Source organism: Homo sapiens, chromosome 7, assembly GCF_000001405.40.
Source record: "Homo sapiens chromosome 7, GRCh38.p14 Primary Assembly".
In the NCBI taxonomy this organism is placed as follows: domain Eukaryota; kingdom Metazoa; phylum Chordata; class Mammalia; order Primates; family Hominidae; genus Homo; species Homo sapiens.
Window position 1 is genome coordinate 158,157,210 of NC_000007.14, and position 17,219 is coordinate 158,174,428.

General features: G+C 48.2%; 1 protein-coding gene across 14 annotated transcripts in view, besides 2 other annotated features; it reads right to left on the bottom strand.

Moving 5' to 3' along the window:
• PTPRN2 (protein tyrosine phosphatase receptor type N2) overlaps positions 1 to 17,219 on the bottom strand; it is a 1,048,768-nt gene that overhangs the window by 618,154 nt on the left and 413,395 nt on the right. For all 14 annotated transcript variants that reach the window (XM_047420678.1, NM_130842.4, XM_047420679.1 and 11 more), the window contains one exon: positions 9,722 to 10,082. In XM_047420678.1, coding sequence (XP_047276634.1) covers positions 9,722 to 10,082 — 361 coding nt within the window. The remainder of the gene's footprint in view (positions 1 to 9,721; positions 10,083 to 17,219) is intronic.
• Positions 4,693 to 4,941: a silencer, noted in NCBI's record as "fragment chr7:157954594-157954842 (GRCh37/hg19 assembly coordinates)". NCBI's record gives its function as "represses an EF-1alpha promoter that drives an FKBP-Casp9 reporter gene in an ReSE screen in HepG2 liver carcinoma cells {active_cell/tissue: HepG2}" and the evidence as "EXISTENCE:reporter gene assay evidence [ECO:0000049][PMID:32094911]".
• Positions 7,188 to 7,712: an enhancer, noted in NCBI's record as "H3K27ac-H3K4me1 hESC enhancer chr7:157957089-157957613 (GRCh37/hg19 assembly coordinates)". NCBI's record gives its function as "activates a minimal SCP1, AML or CMV promoter by ChIP-STARR-seq in primed H9 embryonic stem cells {active_cell/tissue: H9 hESC(primed)}" and the evidence as "EXISTENCE:reporter gene assay evidence [ECO:0000049][PMID:30033119]".

A 17,219-nucleotide genomic window follows, 5' to 3' on the forward strand; every position in this document is an offset into this window, starting at 1 on the left:
TTGGAGCCATGGCAGAAGGTGGTGGGAGGAAAACCTCAGGGGTTGGGCAGTGACAGTGAGGTGCCTTTAGGTGCCCTGCCAATTCCTAGTCAGACAGAGGCAAATTTCAACCCAATTCTCAAAGTAAAAATCTTTCCAGCAAATGCAGCTGGCTTACAGCAGCATGGACCTGGCAGGAAAGCAGTGACCTCAGAGGTGTTTAAGCAGAGTCTGTAAGGACATCAGCCAAACACCGGGGAAGAGATTTCTCACATGGGGGCAGTTTATGACTCTTACTTCTCCCAAATCTGAAAGCAGTGACTCTGCACTAGTGCAGAAGTCGGGGAGCCTCCTCCCCCTGGGAGAAGACATGAGCTGGGTGGAGCCGAGCAGTGCAGGTCCGGGACTGCCAGCCACACGCAGGTCCGAGGCTGCCAGCCACACACGGCCGCTGCCACCCCGCACTGGGCGCATCCACGTCAGGGTTGCTGAGCAGGTGGGTGTGTCCTCAAGGTGCAGTGAGACGAACCCTGTTCCCGCTATATAAGCCACAGAGTGACCCCCCCAGCACCCCGGGTGCCCTCTCCTGCGCCTGCTCCCCTGGGAGAGAGTGCGCTGCTGCTGACTCCACGGTGTGCTGACACACAGGAAGAAAGGCCTCAGGCAGTGCACACTGAGCCCGGGACTGTTTCGCTAGGATGAAAGGCACTTTGATAACATAGGTGCCTTCTCCTCCTGCTTTAGAGGGTGCTCGTGAACTCCAGCCAGGGGCATGGATCCGAGATTAACAATTTATCAGTGGCTTCCTCCTGGAGCAGCCTGTGAGAGGCGGCCTCTGTGTGCCAGTGATTAGGTGGCCAATTCTCTTCTAATTTTTTTTTTTTAAGCCAAGAGGCGTGCTTGGGTTTAGAGCACTGAGCAGCACTGGGATGCATTCAAATATGAATGAATTTCTTCAAAAACGAAAAGGCAGCAGGTGCTTCCTTTCAAGTGAAAATGACCCCAAAAGTGTGGGCATATTTTCTCCAAAGTGACAGAAGCATTGGTATCAGTTATTTCTGTGTTATAATCTACTGCTGTCACCGTGAAAAGTCAAAGCTTTGGTTCAGTGCCCTCCTGAGACTGGGCTGCGGGGAACACGCCCTTCTCTGTGAGGGTTTTCAGGCTGGGATTCCCACCACCAACACGACAAGGAAGTGGGCACCCCACCAGCCAACGCAGGACCTCAGGGTCACGGAAGGCTCGAAGGAGAAGAGGACCAGAACACGCTTATTTTGGATGAGGGGAGAGAACTGGGAGCGGAGCCCATGTGATTGGCCAGGACTTCGCAAGTGCTTTCTGAGTGAATGAGTGAACTCAGGAGAATCAGGAGCCCGTGTGATTGGCCGGGACTTCGCAAGTGCTTTCTGAATGAATGAGTGAACTCGGGAGAATCAGGAGCCCGTGTGATTGGCCGGGACTTCGCAAGTGCTTTCTGAATGAATGAGTGAACTCGGGAGAATCAGGAGCCCGTGTGATTGGCCGGGACTTCGCAAGGGCTTTCTGAATGAATGAGTGAACTCGGAAGAATCAGGAGCCCGTGTGATTGGCCGGGACTTCGCAAGTGCTTCCTGAATGAATGAGTGAACGCGGGAGAATCAGGAGCCCGTGTGATTGGCCGGGACTTCGCAAGGGCTTTCTGAATGAATGAGTGAACTCGGGAGAATCAGGAGCCCGTGTGATTGGCCGGGACTTCGCAAGGGCTTCCTGAATGAATGAGTGAACTCGGGAGAATCAGGAGCCCGTGTGATTGGCCGGGACTTCGCAAGGGCTTCCTGAATGAATGAGTGAACTCGGGAGAATCAGGAGCCCGTGTGATTGGCCGGGACTTCGCAAGGGCTTCCTGAATGAATGAGTGAACGCGGGAGAATCAGGAGCCCGTGTGATTGGCCAGGACTTTGCAAGTGCTTTCTGAATGAATGAGTGAACTTGGGAGAATCAGGAGCCCGTGTGATTGGCCGGGACTTTGCAAGTGCTTTCTGAATGAATGAGTGAACTTGGGAATAACCACGCGAAGCGTTGCATGGCTGGAGAGTTGCACGGCCGGCAGCAGAAACAAGTTCTTCCAGCTTCCACATGAGTTTCCGAGTGCACTTCCCACATGAACACCACGGGCCCCATCTTAGGACAGAGGCTGGCTGGGTGGAGACCCGTGATTACCTTGGCCATACAAGCGATAGTATAATAAGACACCTGAATAGAAGAAATATCAGGTATGTTGGGATGAGGTTGCAATGTGAAATTCAGAACCAAAAGTCAGTCGTCATGATGTGAATTAGGGACTTGTAATTCCCATCCAGGCTCTGGAGGGCGCAGAACCAAGATGATGAAAGAAAGGGTTCTAACAGGTTGGTTACCGGTTTTGTTTCCCGTTCAGTGTGGCTGGTGTTTGATCAATGAGCAAGGATTACAACAGTGGACACCCCACACATTATTTGTCATTGGTTCATTTAGAAAACGGTGTCTGATGCATCTCCTAAAGTGATTTCCAAAACGCTTTCGCTGTCATCAGAGTCTTGAGCTGAAAGTATGGCATTACACAAGTACCGTATCTATATGAAAAAAAACTACAGCACTGATGAAAGAAAGCAAAAGTAAAGAAATGGAGAAGCAGCGTATAAATATTACATGCTCATGGCTAGCAGGACATGGGTTTGGATCATAATCTCAAAAGATACAGTCCCAATTGCCATAATCCCAAATAGTGAAATCCCCAAATATCTGAATATCAAAATCTCTAAATAGAGTCTAAATCCCAAAAGTCTAGTGTTGCTAATGTTTAAAATCCCCTAAATCATAACCACAGGAGAGTTGCATCCTGCTGGGTGGAGCTATTAGCTTGTTATTGTCTTTATTTGGAAATTAAGCATAACTTAAGGAGTTGTGTGTGAGTGCCAAGTTGACAAGGGGTGAAACTGTAGACTTCGTTTTAAGTGTCAACTTGACTGGGTTAAGGAATACCTAGAAATCCAGTAAAGCTTCATTTTGGGTGTTTCTGGGAGGTGTCTCCAGGGAGATTGGGGTGGAGTCTGAGAGGGCTGGGGGAAGGTCTGCCTCAGTGTTGGTGGGCGGGCACTGTCCAAACAGCTGGGGCCCAGAGAGAACAAACACAGAGGGTGAATTAGGCTCCCTCTGAGTGCTGGGGCAGACTTTCCTTCTGCTGCCCTGGACATCAGAGCTCCAGGTTTGGCGGCCTTTGGACTCCAGGACTCACACCAGCCGTCCCTGGGTCTTCAGACTGAGAGTTACATCATCAGCTTCCCTGGTTCTCAATGCAAAAACACTGCAACTTCCTCAATAAATGAAGAATGTCCTTTTTGTACATCTGCATTTGCGAAAGATACAATTTCTTGAGATCTCAGCTCTTCGACTGTTTATGCAGCAGTGACCCATCAGGGTTTTTGACTCATCTTGTCAAAAGCCTTAGGTTGTTCATCAGGGTATTTCAGATGCCTGCAGTTATACAGCTGGGTGCACACAATTACCAAGCAGAGGGACATGCTTTTATACATCTCCCTTCCTGACCTATGTCTTCATAAACACAGTTCATCTGCTCATAAGTGTGATGCCCATGCAACTGTCGTCAAGATATCTGAGGGCTTATGTCTGCAAAAATACGAATGTTATTATTGCTTATTTTATTGTGTAAAATGGCCTATGAAGTGTTTTGTCACGATTTTATATATTTTGCAAATAAATTCCCTTTTAAAAATGTAAATAAATGTCTTTTAAATAATTTTTTCCAGAATTACATTTTTGGGATTTTGATATTTTGAGACTGTGATTTTCAGGATTTTAGGGACCTTAGGGATTTTGATATTTCAGGATCTTAACATTCAGAACTATGGCATTCAGGATTGTGTCTTTCAGGATTATGACTGGCTCCCAAAGACTCAATATTGTCAGCATGTCAGTTCTCCAACTTGATCTATGGATTTAATGAAATCCCAGTCAAAATCCCAGCAAGTCATTTTTTGGATACAAGCAAGTTTATTCTAAAGTTTATATGTAGAGGCGAGTGACCCATAACAGCCAACACAATACTGAAGAAGAACAAAGGCGGAGGACAACAGCACCCATCATTAGGATGCACTACACCCATTGTTACGACTCACTCCAACTCCACAGGAATCCAGGCAGGGTGGGGTTGATGACACAGACAAACAGATCAATGAAACAGAACAGAGAGCCCAGACATGGGTCCACATACATGAGGTCAGCCGAGCTTTGAAAAGGAGCAAAGGTGATGCTATGGAGAAAGGATCGCCTCTTAACAAATGGTGCTGGACAACTGGATGTCCACATGTACAGAAACAATTCCAGATGCAGACCTTACACCTTTCACAACTAACTCAGAATGGGTCACAGACCTCATTATAAAATGAAAAACCATAAAACTCCTTAAAGGTAAGAGAGGAGAAACTCTGGATGACCTTGGGTTTGGTGATGACTTTTTAAAATCCAACACCAAAGGCAAAATCCATGAATAAAATAATTGGTAAGCTGGACTTCATTAAAATAAAAACTAATGCTCTGCAAAAGACGCTGTCAAGAGAATGAAAATACAAGCCACAGACTGGAGAAAATGTTTACAAAAGACATATCTGATATCTGATAAAGGACCAATATCTAAAATATTCAAGAACTTTACAAACTCAACAATAAGAAAACAAACAGCCTAATTAAAACATGGCCCAGAGACCACCACAGACACCTCACCACAGAAGATACACAGATGAAAACAAGCATGTGAAGATGCTCTGCTTCCTCCATCATCAGGGAAATGTGAATGAAAATGACAACGAGACACCACCACACACCTCTCAGAAGGGCCGGAACCCAGAACATTGACAACACCCAATGCAGGCGAGGATGTGGAGCAACAGCAGCTCATTCACCACTGGTGGCACGCAGAATGCAGAATGCCACAGCCACTGGGGAAGACAGTTTGGTGGCTGCTTCCAAAACCAAACATTCTCTTACTATGTGATCCAGTGATTACACTCCTTGGTACTTAACCAGTAGAAGTTAAAGACTTATATCCACACAAAAACCTGCATGAGGGTGCTTATGGCAGCTTTATGAATAATTGCCAATACATGGAAGCAACCAAGATGTTCCTCAGTAGGCGAATAAACTGTGGCCCATCTATACAATGGAGTGTTATGGATTATAATGTAATAATACAATACTATTCAGCACTAAAGAGAAATGAGCCATCGAGCCATGAAAAGATGGGGGAATCTTCAAGGCATGTGACCCATCTGAAAAGGCCACATATTGTAAGGTTCCAACTCCAGGACATTCAGGAAAAGGCAAACTATGGAGACAGCAACAAGGTCCATGGTTGCCAGGTCTCGAGTGGGGAAACTGGAGACGCTGAACTAGATGAGCCCCAAATTCCTTCACCGGCCACTGCACGTCACCTGTTGTCCTCCCCGTCACCCCACCTTAGATAGGCCTTCCACTGAACCTGCTTTAAAGCTCTTTGAAAGGAGACCAGATGTGAATTATGAATAAGTGAAGGAAGAGAGTCTCTTTTTAAAGCTTTTACCAGGTAAACTTTTGTCATATGCGTTCAGCCCGCAGCCTCGTTGACTGACTGCTTCTTTGGGAGCAGGTACGCGTGGGTCTTCTCTCCCACTCTCTGAAGACTAAACAGCAAGGGTCTCATGTTGGACCCGACCGTGCGACAGGAGGGTGGCCCTGTTCTCTGACCTGTAAAGAAGTTTTCTGTTCCCTGGCATTATCACAGGGTCCTCCCTTCCTGCTCGGGTGCAGTTGCTCTTTGTGTGTTGAGAATGTCTGTCTAGCTAGGGCCTCACATCTTCAGAAATCATTCGATGTCTGGATTTGCTTTAGAATCATCCCAGGGCAGAGCAGGGGGCTGTAGTGGGCGCAGAGGAGCATCAGGAAAGCCTGAGAGTCACCACTTGTGGGAGACAGGTGATGCCTGTACGGGGTTCTCAATATTCTCTGTATATTTCATAGGTGATGCCTATACCAGGTTCTCAATTCTCTCTATTTCTTAGGTGACGCCTGTACGGGGTTCTCAATATTCTCTGTGTGTTTCATAGGTGATACCTGCACGGGGTTCTCAATTCTCTCTATTTCATAGGTGACGCCTGTACGGGGTTCTCAATATTCTCTGCGTGTTTCATAGGTGATGCCTGCACGGGGTTCTCAATATTCTCTGCGTGTTTCATAGGTGACGCCTGTACCGGGTTCTCAATATTCTCTGCGTGTTTTGTAGGTGATACCTGTACGGGGTTCTCAATTCTCTCTTCTTATTTCATAGGTGATCAATATTCTCTGTGTATTTCATAGGTGACGCCTGTACGGGGTTCTCAATATTCTCTGTATATTTCATAGGTGGCGCCTGTACGGGGTTCTCAATATTCTCTGTATATTTCTTAGGTGACGCCCGTATGAAGTTCTCAATTCTCTCTGCTTATTTCATAGGTGATCAATATTCTCTGTGTATTTCATAGGTGATGCCTGTACCGGGTTCTCAATTCTATTTCATAGGTGACGCCTGTACGGGGTTCTCAATTCTATTTCATAGGTGACGCCTGTACGGGGTTCTCAATATTCTCTGTATATTTCGTAGGTGACGCCTGTACGGGGTTCTCAATTCTCTCTGCATATTTCATAGGTGATCAGTATTCTCTGTGTATTTCATAGGTGATACCTGCATGGGGTTCTCAATTCTCTCTGCGTATTTCCTATTTGCCGTTTTACATGAGGCTTTTCTAAAGCGCACAGTGCAGTTTGGAAGTCAGTTTTTATCAGAATATCACCAGCATCGCAGGGTAGCTCAGGAAGAATGCCAAGCACATTGTGTAACTCGTAGGGATCACGGGAGAGTGGAGAGAGCACGGTCAGGACGCTTGTTCCGAAGATCCACACCCTGGGGTGTGGGAGGAACGAGAAGGCGCCAAGGCAGGGAGGTGAAGCTCCCCGGTGCATAAGAAAGGCACACAGAACAGGAGCGCGCAGGAAGGGCTCGCAGAGCAGGAGCGCACGCGTAGGAAGAGCACGCAGAGCAAGAGCGCGTGCGTAGGAAGGGCACGCAGAGCAGGAGCGCGTGCGTAAGAAGGGCACGCAGAGCAGGAGTGGCGCGTAAGAAGGGCACGCAGAGCAGGAGGGTGCGTAGGAAGGACACGCAGAGCAGGAGCGCGCGCGTAGGAAGGGCTCGCAGAGCAGGAGGGTGCGTAGGAAGGACACGCAGAGCAGGAGCGCGCGCGTAGGAAGGGCTCGCAGAGCGGGAGCGCGCGCGTAGGGAGGGCTCAGAGCGGGAGCGCGCACGTAGGGAAGGCGCGCACGTAGGGAAGGCACGCAGAGCAGGAATGCGTCCTATTCTCTCTGTGAGCTCACCCTCACCCGGCTCTCCAGCTGGGTTTCCCTCCCTCTGATGGGGGCGACGATGTTTATTGCTTTCTGTTCCCAATAATGAGGACAGAGGTGAATGGGGCTTTTTAAGCTGTGGGAGATGGGATAGGAGAGAGAAAAGGGAGGTTAGAGAAGGAAGAGGACGACCCAAAGTGACCCCACTAGAAGGAGTATAGAGGTGGGAGAATGCAGGTAGAGGGGCAGCCGGTGCCGGGGAGGGGCAAGGAAGGCTGAGATGAGAAGCTGAAGGTCACCTCAGCCATGTATTCACCGCCTGTGGCCAAGGGCTGAGGCCACACTGAGCTGGAGGAGAACAGGAAGCTCGGCAGCTACACGGACCCAAGGTCGCAAGTGAAGACCCCCTGATAGCGTCCAGGACCTACGAGAGTGCAGGAGGCAGTGAAGACCCCCGATGGTGTCTAGTACCCACAAGAGGCAGTGAAGACCCCTGATAGCATTCAGTACCCACGAAAGCGCAGGAGGCAGTGAAGACCCCTGATGGTGTCTAGTACACAAAGAGTGCAGGAGGCAGTGAAGACCCCCGATGGTGTCTAGTACCCACGAAAGTGCAGGAGGCAGTGAAGACCCTGATGGTGTCTAGTACCCACGCAAGTGCAGGAGGCAGGACCATCAAGGAAAGGGGTTTCTCGGAGTAGAGCATGGCTTAGAACAGAGGAGACGTCGTCCCAGAGGGAGAGGTGCTGGAGGGAAAGTGGCCACTCCAGGCGGGCAGCTCCCGTAGCAAACAGCACCATCAATGCTCCAGCAGCACTCACTCAAGTGCAGCATCGGCCTCCTCCGCCGTCCTTCTCCTCCAAGAGAGGAACAAGGAGAAAGCATCGGTAATGGTCACACGTCCTTCCCTCTAATTGCAATTTCACATTCCTTCTATTTAAAAACTGCCATAACGGCTGCATGAACAAAGAAAGAGCGAGGGCAGGAGAGCTCCCGGCTGCAGACAGCAGAGAAGCTGATGCTCGCTCTCAGCGGCTCCCATTCAGCCTTCACTTAAGGAGCAGAGAGTGCTCACATAACGCGATGCTCAGGCAATGTTTGTGAAATTTTAGTATTTGTTATCTCCAAAAGGGAAGTCATGTTTTATCAGAACCCACTGCAGGATGGTCTTGGGAAAAGGCTGTTGGGAAATAAATGGGTCGGAACCTTCTCCATATCACAAAGAGTCGCAGGAACCCGCAAACGCCTTTCTCCCCTGGGCCCGCCCTGACGTGGCTTAACTCAGGTAGCGACACCGGAAGCCACGGTCTTGGCAGAGCAGTCACCTCGAGGCCGACACTGTTCAGCTAGTGCATGGTGAGCAGCATGAAATCCAGACAGGGGGCTTCGGAGGATGTGGCAAACCGCCATAAATATGGGCTACGGTCACATGCTGGGCCACAGGGAGAGGTGAGTTCAGCGACAAAGGACACTGGACTTAACGTGTTCAGAGTCAATTTTCCAAAACAGATATGGATGACACAAGCTGTGGGCCAGACCCGTCCTGCAAGCCATGTTGCCCGCCCCATCCATCAGCTTCAGCAGTAGAATTGTGAAATCATAAAATCTGGGGAAGGGATGAACAAGAAGTGAGAAGGGAACACACACTGTCCTCACACCCTCAGGATCATCTCCTCCTCCCCCTGGCTGCCGCGTTCCCTGTCCTCACACCCTCAGGATCATCTCCTCCTCCCCCCCGGCCGCCGCGTTCCCTGTCCTCACACCCTCAGGATCATCTCCTCCTCCCACTGGCCGCCGCGTTCCCTGTCCTCACACCCTCAGGATCATCTCCTCCTCCCCCCGGGTGCCGCGTTCCCTGTCCTCACACCCTCAGGATCACCTCCCCTCCCACTGGCCACTGTGTTCACTGTCCTCACACCCTCAGGATCATCTCCTCCTCCCCCCGGCCGCCGCGTTCCCTGTCCTCACACCCTCAGGATCATCTCCTCCTCCCCCTGGCCGCCGCGTTCCCTGTCCTCACACCCTCAGGATCACCTCCCCTCCCACTGGCCGCTGTGTTCACTGTCCTCACACCCTCAGCAGCGCCTTCTCCATCCCACTGTCAGGATCACCTCCCGCCTCTCACTGGCCACTGCGTTCCCAGGACGTGAAATGACCACATACTCCTTCCCAGCACAGAGAGGGTATGAGGGCCGAAGGGACCCTTCCCTACATGGTGCCCCATTCCTGCCACGCGTCCTCGGGGGAGTGCGGTGTGCAGACCCCACGTGTGGGAAGAGCATGGTGCGTCTGTCACTGGGAGGGGCTGGACAGAGGACAGTCAGCAAACAAGAAACACCAAGCGGGGCTGGCTCACCATCGCCTGTGCTGGAGGGGTCTTCGGAATCTCCCAGAGGTGAAGGCCACTTCTGGGGGGCGGCTGGTGCCAGCAAAGGCCTGGGCATTCTTGAGGGTGCACGCAGAAGGTACTGTGGCTCCAGGCTGCCCTCCCCGGGGGGAGCTGGGGGCCTCTGGGCAGCATAGGCACTGAGGGCCGCCATCAGATGGTGTCTGTCCACACCACTGTCCACCTTAGGGCTGAGCTCATCTGGCTGGAGCTGGCCGAGGGTCCGCGGCAGGAGGTCCTCGCGGAGCTGGGTCCGGGACCCGGGAGGGTAGGTCAGCGCAGACGTGTGGGCCACATAGGTCAGGATGCTCTCGGAGAAGCGGTCATCACCCTGAAGGAAAGGAGAGCAAAACAGAGCAAGAGTCACATTTCCATCGTCAGCTGGGGGCACCAAGATGCCCTTCAGTCTCAGTTTTCAAGGTCCTAAACAGCCCTGGGGGTACAAAGATGCCCTTCGGTCTCAGGTTCAAGGTCCTAAACAGCCCTGGACATCTCTGAAATGTAAAGCCAAAACAGGACTCTCATTTTCACACTGACCAACCCAGGTCCCTATTTCATATTTGTTCCTGCATTATTTTTAATATCAGCTTTATGGAGATAATTCACCCACATCAGCAGTTTTTAGTGTATTCAGAGTTGTGAGACATCACTACTAAGTCCAGAACATCCGCATCACCCAAAAAGAGACTTTGCAGTGTTCCCATTCCTCCCTCCCACCCTGACACTGCTCATTCGCTTTCAGTCTCTATGGAGGAGTCTCTTCTGGACGTTTGGTGTAAATGGAATCACACCATGTGTGGCATCTGTGCCTGGCTCATTTCCCTAAGCATAATGTCCTCAGGTGCACCCATGCTGATGCTGGGGCATGGGCCAGGACATCCTTCCTCTTTCAGCCAAGTACTATCCCACTGCATGTATATCCCACATTTTAAAAATTCACCTATCAGTTGATGGACATTTGCTTTTTTCTACCTTTTGGCTATTTTGAATAATGCTGCTATGAGTATTCATTTATGAGTCTGTGTATCAATGTGTTTTCAATTCTCTTGGGTTTATTCGAGGATATTACATGGTAACTCGACATTTAACTGACTGAGGAACTCCCAAGCTGTTTTCCAGCACAGCAGCACCACAAACAATCTCACCAGTAATGGATGCAGATGCCAGTTCCTCTGCATCTTTGCCAACACTTGCTACTTTCCTTCTGTTTTTACTATGGTTGTCCTAGCAGTTGGAAAGCAATACCGTGCTGTGTCACTTGCATAATGCACTGAGCCTAGTATGTCCTGCACCTGGAGCCTCCAACTCAGCTTTAACTAAAGGTCCTTTGCACGGCAGCTCGGAGTTACTGCATTCACAGCAATGAGAGGAGCTGCTCCCAGACACATTCATGAGGCTCGGCGGTGCCTCCCTGGTGGCTAATGATGCTGCATCTTTGTGTGCCCTTATTGACCACTCCTACATCTTCTCTGAAGAAATGTCTGTTTGTATTTTTTGCCTGCACTGGTTTTTATTTTAACCCTGAAAAGCTGCTCCCCAATAGCTGAATCTCTCTTTCAGCAACCCTCAGCAGAGGCCTCAAGTGCCTTGTCTGGAGGTCTTCACTCCAACTTCTTTACTGAAGACCTGAAACATGTTTGCTGCCTGCTCTTTTAACTGCAGTGTGCTGCAGCAGGGAAGATGCCAGGGTCTCTTGTTCGATAATTACCTATCACATCATTTACTAGTCAATGCCCTGGCTAACAGTCTTTCATGGGATTTCTGTCTATATTTTCTCCTCACTCATTTAGTAAAATTCCGTTAAGAGGACATGTCCTCATCACACTTTGTGTCACTAGATAAACCAAGGCCCAGCTGTCCTCACCTCTAGGGCAGCTGTAAAAATGTGAAAAGTCCCCACATTGTACCTCTGACTTGGGCTTCATCAAAATGTCATGGACAGGCTGAGTATGAATAATTTCCAGCTTAGAGACTTTCGAATCCTGGACACACAAGCTGAGCTCCCTGGAGGCGTGCATGGGTGTGTGGACACCCCAGTTTAAATCCCATCCGTTCATATTTTCTACTTGCACCTCCTTGGGGCACATGATCAATGTCATGTCAGTGGAGGTGGACACCTCGGCACTAGCTAAGGGTGTGCAGCCATCACTGACAGTAAGGTAAGGGGGTCCAGCTCCTGAGTCTGGCTATTTCCGAAAATATTTGGGTTCATCCTCTGAGTTAGATTTTTGAGTAGCAACCTGGGAGTTGGGAAGTGGGTTGATAGAGGTTGGGGTTGTTTGGTTTTTCTGGGTTTTTTTGAGACAGAGTCTCCCTCTTTCATCCAGGCTGGAGTGAAGTGGCACAATCTCAGCTCACTACAACCTCTGCCTCCTTGGTTCATGCAGTTCTTATGTCTCTGCCTCCCAAGTAGCTGGGACCACAGGAACACACCACCATACCTGGCTGCTTTTGTGAGTGTGTGTGTGTGTGTGTGTGTGTGTGTGTGTGTGTGTGTTTTAGTAGAAATGGGGTTTTACTATGTTGGCCAGGCTGGTCTCAAACTCCTGGCCTCAAGTGATCCGCCTGCCTCAGCCTCCCAAAGTGCTGGGATTACAGGCGTGAGCCACCGCGCCTGGCCAGGTTGAATTAGGTTCTGATTTCAGTTCTCATATATGAACTTGGGTAAATTACTTGACCCCTAAAGACTCAATTTTCTTCTGTCAAAAAAGGAAATCGGACATTATCTCTAAGATTTTTTTTTTTCTTTTGAGACGGAGTCTCTCACTGTCGCCCAGGCTGGAGTGCAGTGGCACATCTCGGCTCACTGCAACCTCCACCTCTGGGGTTCAAGCGACTCTCCTGCTTCAGCCTCCTGAGTAACTGGGATTACAGGTGCCCTTCACCACGCCCTGCTAATTTTTGTGTTTTTAGTAGAGATGGGGTTTCGCCATGTTGGCCAGGCTGGTCTCGAACTCCTGACCTCAAGTGATGGGCCTGCCTTAGCCTCCCAAAGTGCTGGGATTACAGTCATGAGCCACTGTGCCCAGCCATTATCTCTAAGATATTTTAATTATTATTTCTAAAGTGATGTGACTATAGCTATCATCCAAATTGCTTAAATTTGTCCAAGGACTAGCTGAAATCAACTATTCTTCCCTTAAGAAAGAGAATATGTGAGAGAGCAAGAGCGTGAGAAAGAGCGAGAGCGAGCGAGCGAGAGACAGTGAATGCCACCACAACAAACAGCCCCTCTAGCAATTTCCCACAAATTGGGTGTAAGTGTCAATCTCCAGCTCAGCCTGCACTCCCTCTTGCAAAGGCTGTCTCTGAACACCTGGTCAGCCACCGTGCTGGGGGGTGGGGATCTGCGTCCAAATCCCTCGTTATGTGCCTGCAAGTGGCTTTCCCCTCATTGCTATGAATGCAGTAACCTGGAGCTTCCACGCAAAGGGCCTTTAATTAAAGTTGAGTTGGAAGCTCCAGGTGCAGGACTGACTAGGTTCAGTGCATTACACAATCACAGCAGAGTGTGATCTGTGCAGTAGACTTGGATAAACAATCTATTTTTGGTTTATGTTCTGAATCAAATTAAGGTGAAGAGGAAAAAGAATATTTCAGTAGTTAGCACAAACAACAGAGCCTGTAGAAATAATAGCAAACATCGGTTTTTGCAAGCCACTCCGGCTACTCAATAGATGATTGCAGACACTGGGGTGTTTCTCACCAAGGTGAGGTGACCATCCCATAACCAAGAGGGCCTGAGAGTTGGGAACATGGGCAGTAAAGAAAAGTATTCTCACGCTGACTGGCTCTTTCACGGTTTGAGGTCCCCAAGGAAAAGGAACTGGCTCTGGAGCTGCCTGGGTTTAAACTACCACCAATGCTACGAGCTTAATGACCTTTGCTTCAGCACACTATTTAAGTAATCTGTAAAACAAGGATAATAATAATAGTATCTGGCACGGAAGTGTTAATGGCTATGACTACTACTATTATTACAATTATTTACTTTACCTTATCCTTCATATATATACATACATATATATATACACATACATATATATATACACATACATATATATACACATATATATACACATACATATATATACACATATATACACATTATATACACATATATATACACACATATATATATACACATATATATACACACATATATACACATATATACACACATATATATACACATATATATACACACATATATACACATATATACACACATACATATATATACACTATATATACACACATATATACACACATATATATACACATATATACACACATATATATACACACATATATACACACATATATATACACACATATATATACACACATATATATATATATATATATATATATATATATATATATATACACACACACATTTTTTTAAGACATAGTCTCGCTCTGTAACCCATGCTGGAGTGCAATGGCGTGATCTTGGCTCACTGCAACCTCCACCTCCTGGGTTCAAGTGATTCTCCTGCCTCAGCCTCCTGAGCAGCTGGGATTACAGGCACGCGCCACCAGGCCCAGCTAACTTTTCTGCATTTTTAGTAGAGATGGGGTTTCACCATGTTGGTCAGGCTGGTCTCAAACTCCTGACCTCAAGTGATCTGCCCGCCTTGGCCTCCCAAAGTGCTGGGATTACAAGCGTGAGCCACCATGCCCAGCCTATACCTTCATATTCTTTAAAGCAGTCAGGAAATCCACATCTCAACTGAGGAGAAACTATCCAATTAGACTTTTTCTTCTACTCTCAGCTCTGAGTTTAAAATTCTGTGACTCATTTTCAAACCCCCTGTTGTGAAGATGTTTTCAGTCTCAGTTCAACATACCAATGAAGGGAGGTTTCCTAAGACAATGTGGAATAATTTTTAAGACCGTAGCTGCCCAAACCTGGAAATTAGCAGCCTAACGGCATAGACACAGACTAATTTCCAGTACAGGCGATGGACATTCCTGTGCATGAAGTCTTCAAACTATGTGTAAGAGAAATCCGGCTGAGCATCTCTGGGGTAGCCCAGCTGTGGATATGAAGCATTCGAGAGCTTCTGCCAAAGTCTGATGATGTTTAAGCTGACATGATATTCTACTGGGAATATTCTTCAACCCACTGCATTTCCATATGACGAGAAGCAGAACCCACTCGCCCACACACTGAAAAAGCCAGCAGGAAAGAAGGCTCACTGAAAGACTGGCCCAATCCTGTCAGTTCTGTGTAACTTGTGTAAGTTTGGACCAGTTATCTAACCTCTTGAAGTCTCATTTTCACCACCTGCAAAACTAGAAAAATAATTCTGTTTTCTTTAAAAGCCACTGTGAGGATTAGGGAGAGTATAGGTAAAAGTGCCTTGCTCAGCACACAACTCAGAGGAGGAACTTGATAAATGGCAGTCATCAGCAGTATCATTATCACCATTAGTGTCACTGCCACCATCCACAACAGCATCCCCACCATCATCTTCACCATCCACAGCACCATCCCTACCATCATCACCCTCACCATCAGCATCATCCCACCATCAATAGCAGCATCCCCACCATCATCACTTCCACCATCAACAACAGCATCTCCACTATCTCCACCATCCACAACAGCATCTCCACTATCTCCACCATCAACAACAGCATCTCCACTATCTCCAACAGCATCCCCACCATCACCATCCCACCATCCACAGCAGCATCCCACCATCATCATCTTCACCATCATCATCTTCACCATCCACAGCAGGATCCCCACCATCATCTTCACCATCCACAGCAGGATCCCCACCATCATCTTCACCATTCACAGCAGCATCCCACCATCATCATCTTCACCATCAGCATCATCCCACCATCCACAGCAGCATCCCCACCATCATCAACTTCACCATCCACAGCACCATCCATACCATCATCACCTTCACCATCAGCATCATCCCACCATCAATAGCAGCATCCCCACCATCATCACTTCCACCATCAACAGCAGCATCCCCACCATCATCATCACCCCATCATCGACAGCAGCATCCCACCAATATCATCTTCACCATCCATAGCAGGATCCCCACCATCATCACCCCAATCATCAACAACAGCATCTCCACTATCTCCACCATCAATAATAGCATCCCATCACCACCAACACCACCAGCGTCCCCACCATCATCATCACCCCATCATCAACAGCAGCATCCACACCATCATCACCCTCACCATCAGCATCATCCCACCATCAATAGCAGCATCCCCACCATCATCACTTCCTATTGGGGGAACCAGCCCCCAATATTTCAACACAGGTTCTTTTCTATTTTCCCTAAGTGTTGGCCAGTCTGAGAAATAAAGAGAAAGAGTACAAAGAGGTAAATTTTACAGCTGGGCCTTCAGGGGTAACATCACATATTGGCAGGTTCTGTGATGCCCACCTGAGCCACAAAACCAGCAAGTTTTTATTAGGGATTTCAAAAGGGGAGGGGTGTACAAATAGGGAGTAGGTCACAGGGATCACATGCTTCAGAGGGCAATAAAAGATCACAAGGCAGGGGGTGAAATTAGAATTACTGATGAGTGTCCCACTGGGCATGCATTGTCTTGATAAACATCTTAACAGGAAACAGGGTTCGAGAGCAGACAACTGGTCTGACTAGAATTCACCAGGCTGGAATTTCCCAATCCTGGTAAGCCTGAGGGCACTGCAGGAGACCAGGGAGAATTTCATCTCTTATCTTCAACTGCATAAGACAGACACTCCCAGAACGGCCATTCATAGACCTACCCCTGGGAATGCATTCCTTCCCCAGGATTATTCCTTGCTGGGAAAAGAATTCAGCAATATTTCTCCTACTTGCTTTCTGCAAGAAGAAAAATAAGGCTCTATTCTGCCCGACCCCGCAGGCAGTCAGACCTTAATGTTATCTTCCCTTGTTCCCTGAAGATCGCTGTTGTTCTGTTCCTTTTCAGGGTGCCCTGATTTCATATTGTTCAAACACATGTTTTACAGTTTGTACCATTAATGCAATCATCACAGGATCCCGAGGTGACATACATCCTCAGCTTATGAAGATGATGGGATTAAGAGATTAAAGACAGGCATAGGAAATTATAAGAGTATTGAGTGGGGAAATGATAAATGTCCATGAAATCTTCACAATTTATGTTCAGAGACTGCAGTAAAAACAGGCATAAGAAATTATGAAAGTACTAATTTTGGGAACTGATAAATGTCCATGAAGTCTTCACAATTTATGTTTTGCCGCAGCTTCAGCCGGTCCCTCCATTTGGGGTCCCTGACTTCCCGCAACAACTTCCACCATCAACAATATCATCTCCACTATCTCCACCATCAACAGCAGCATCCCCACCACCATCATCTTCACCATCATCATCCCACCATCCACAGCAGCATCCCCACCATCATCATCTTCACCATCCACAGCAGCATCCCCACCATTATCACTTC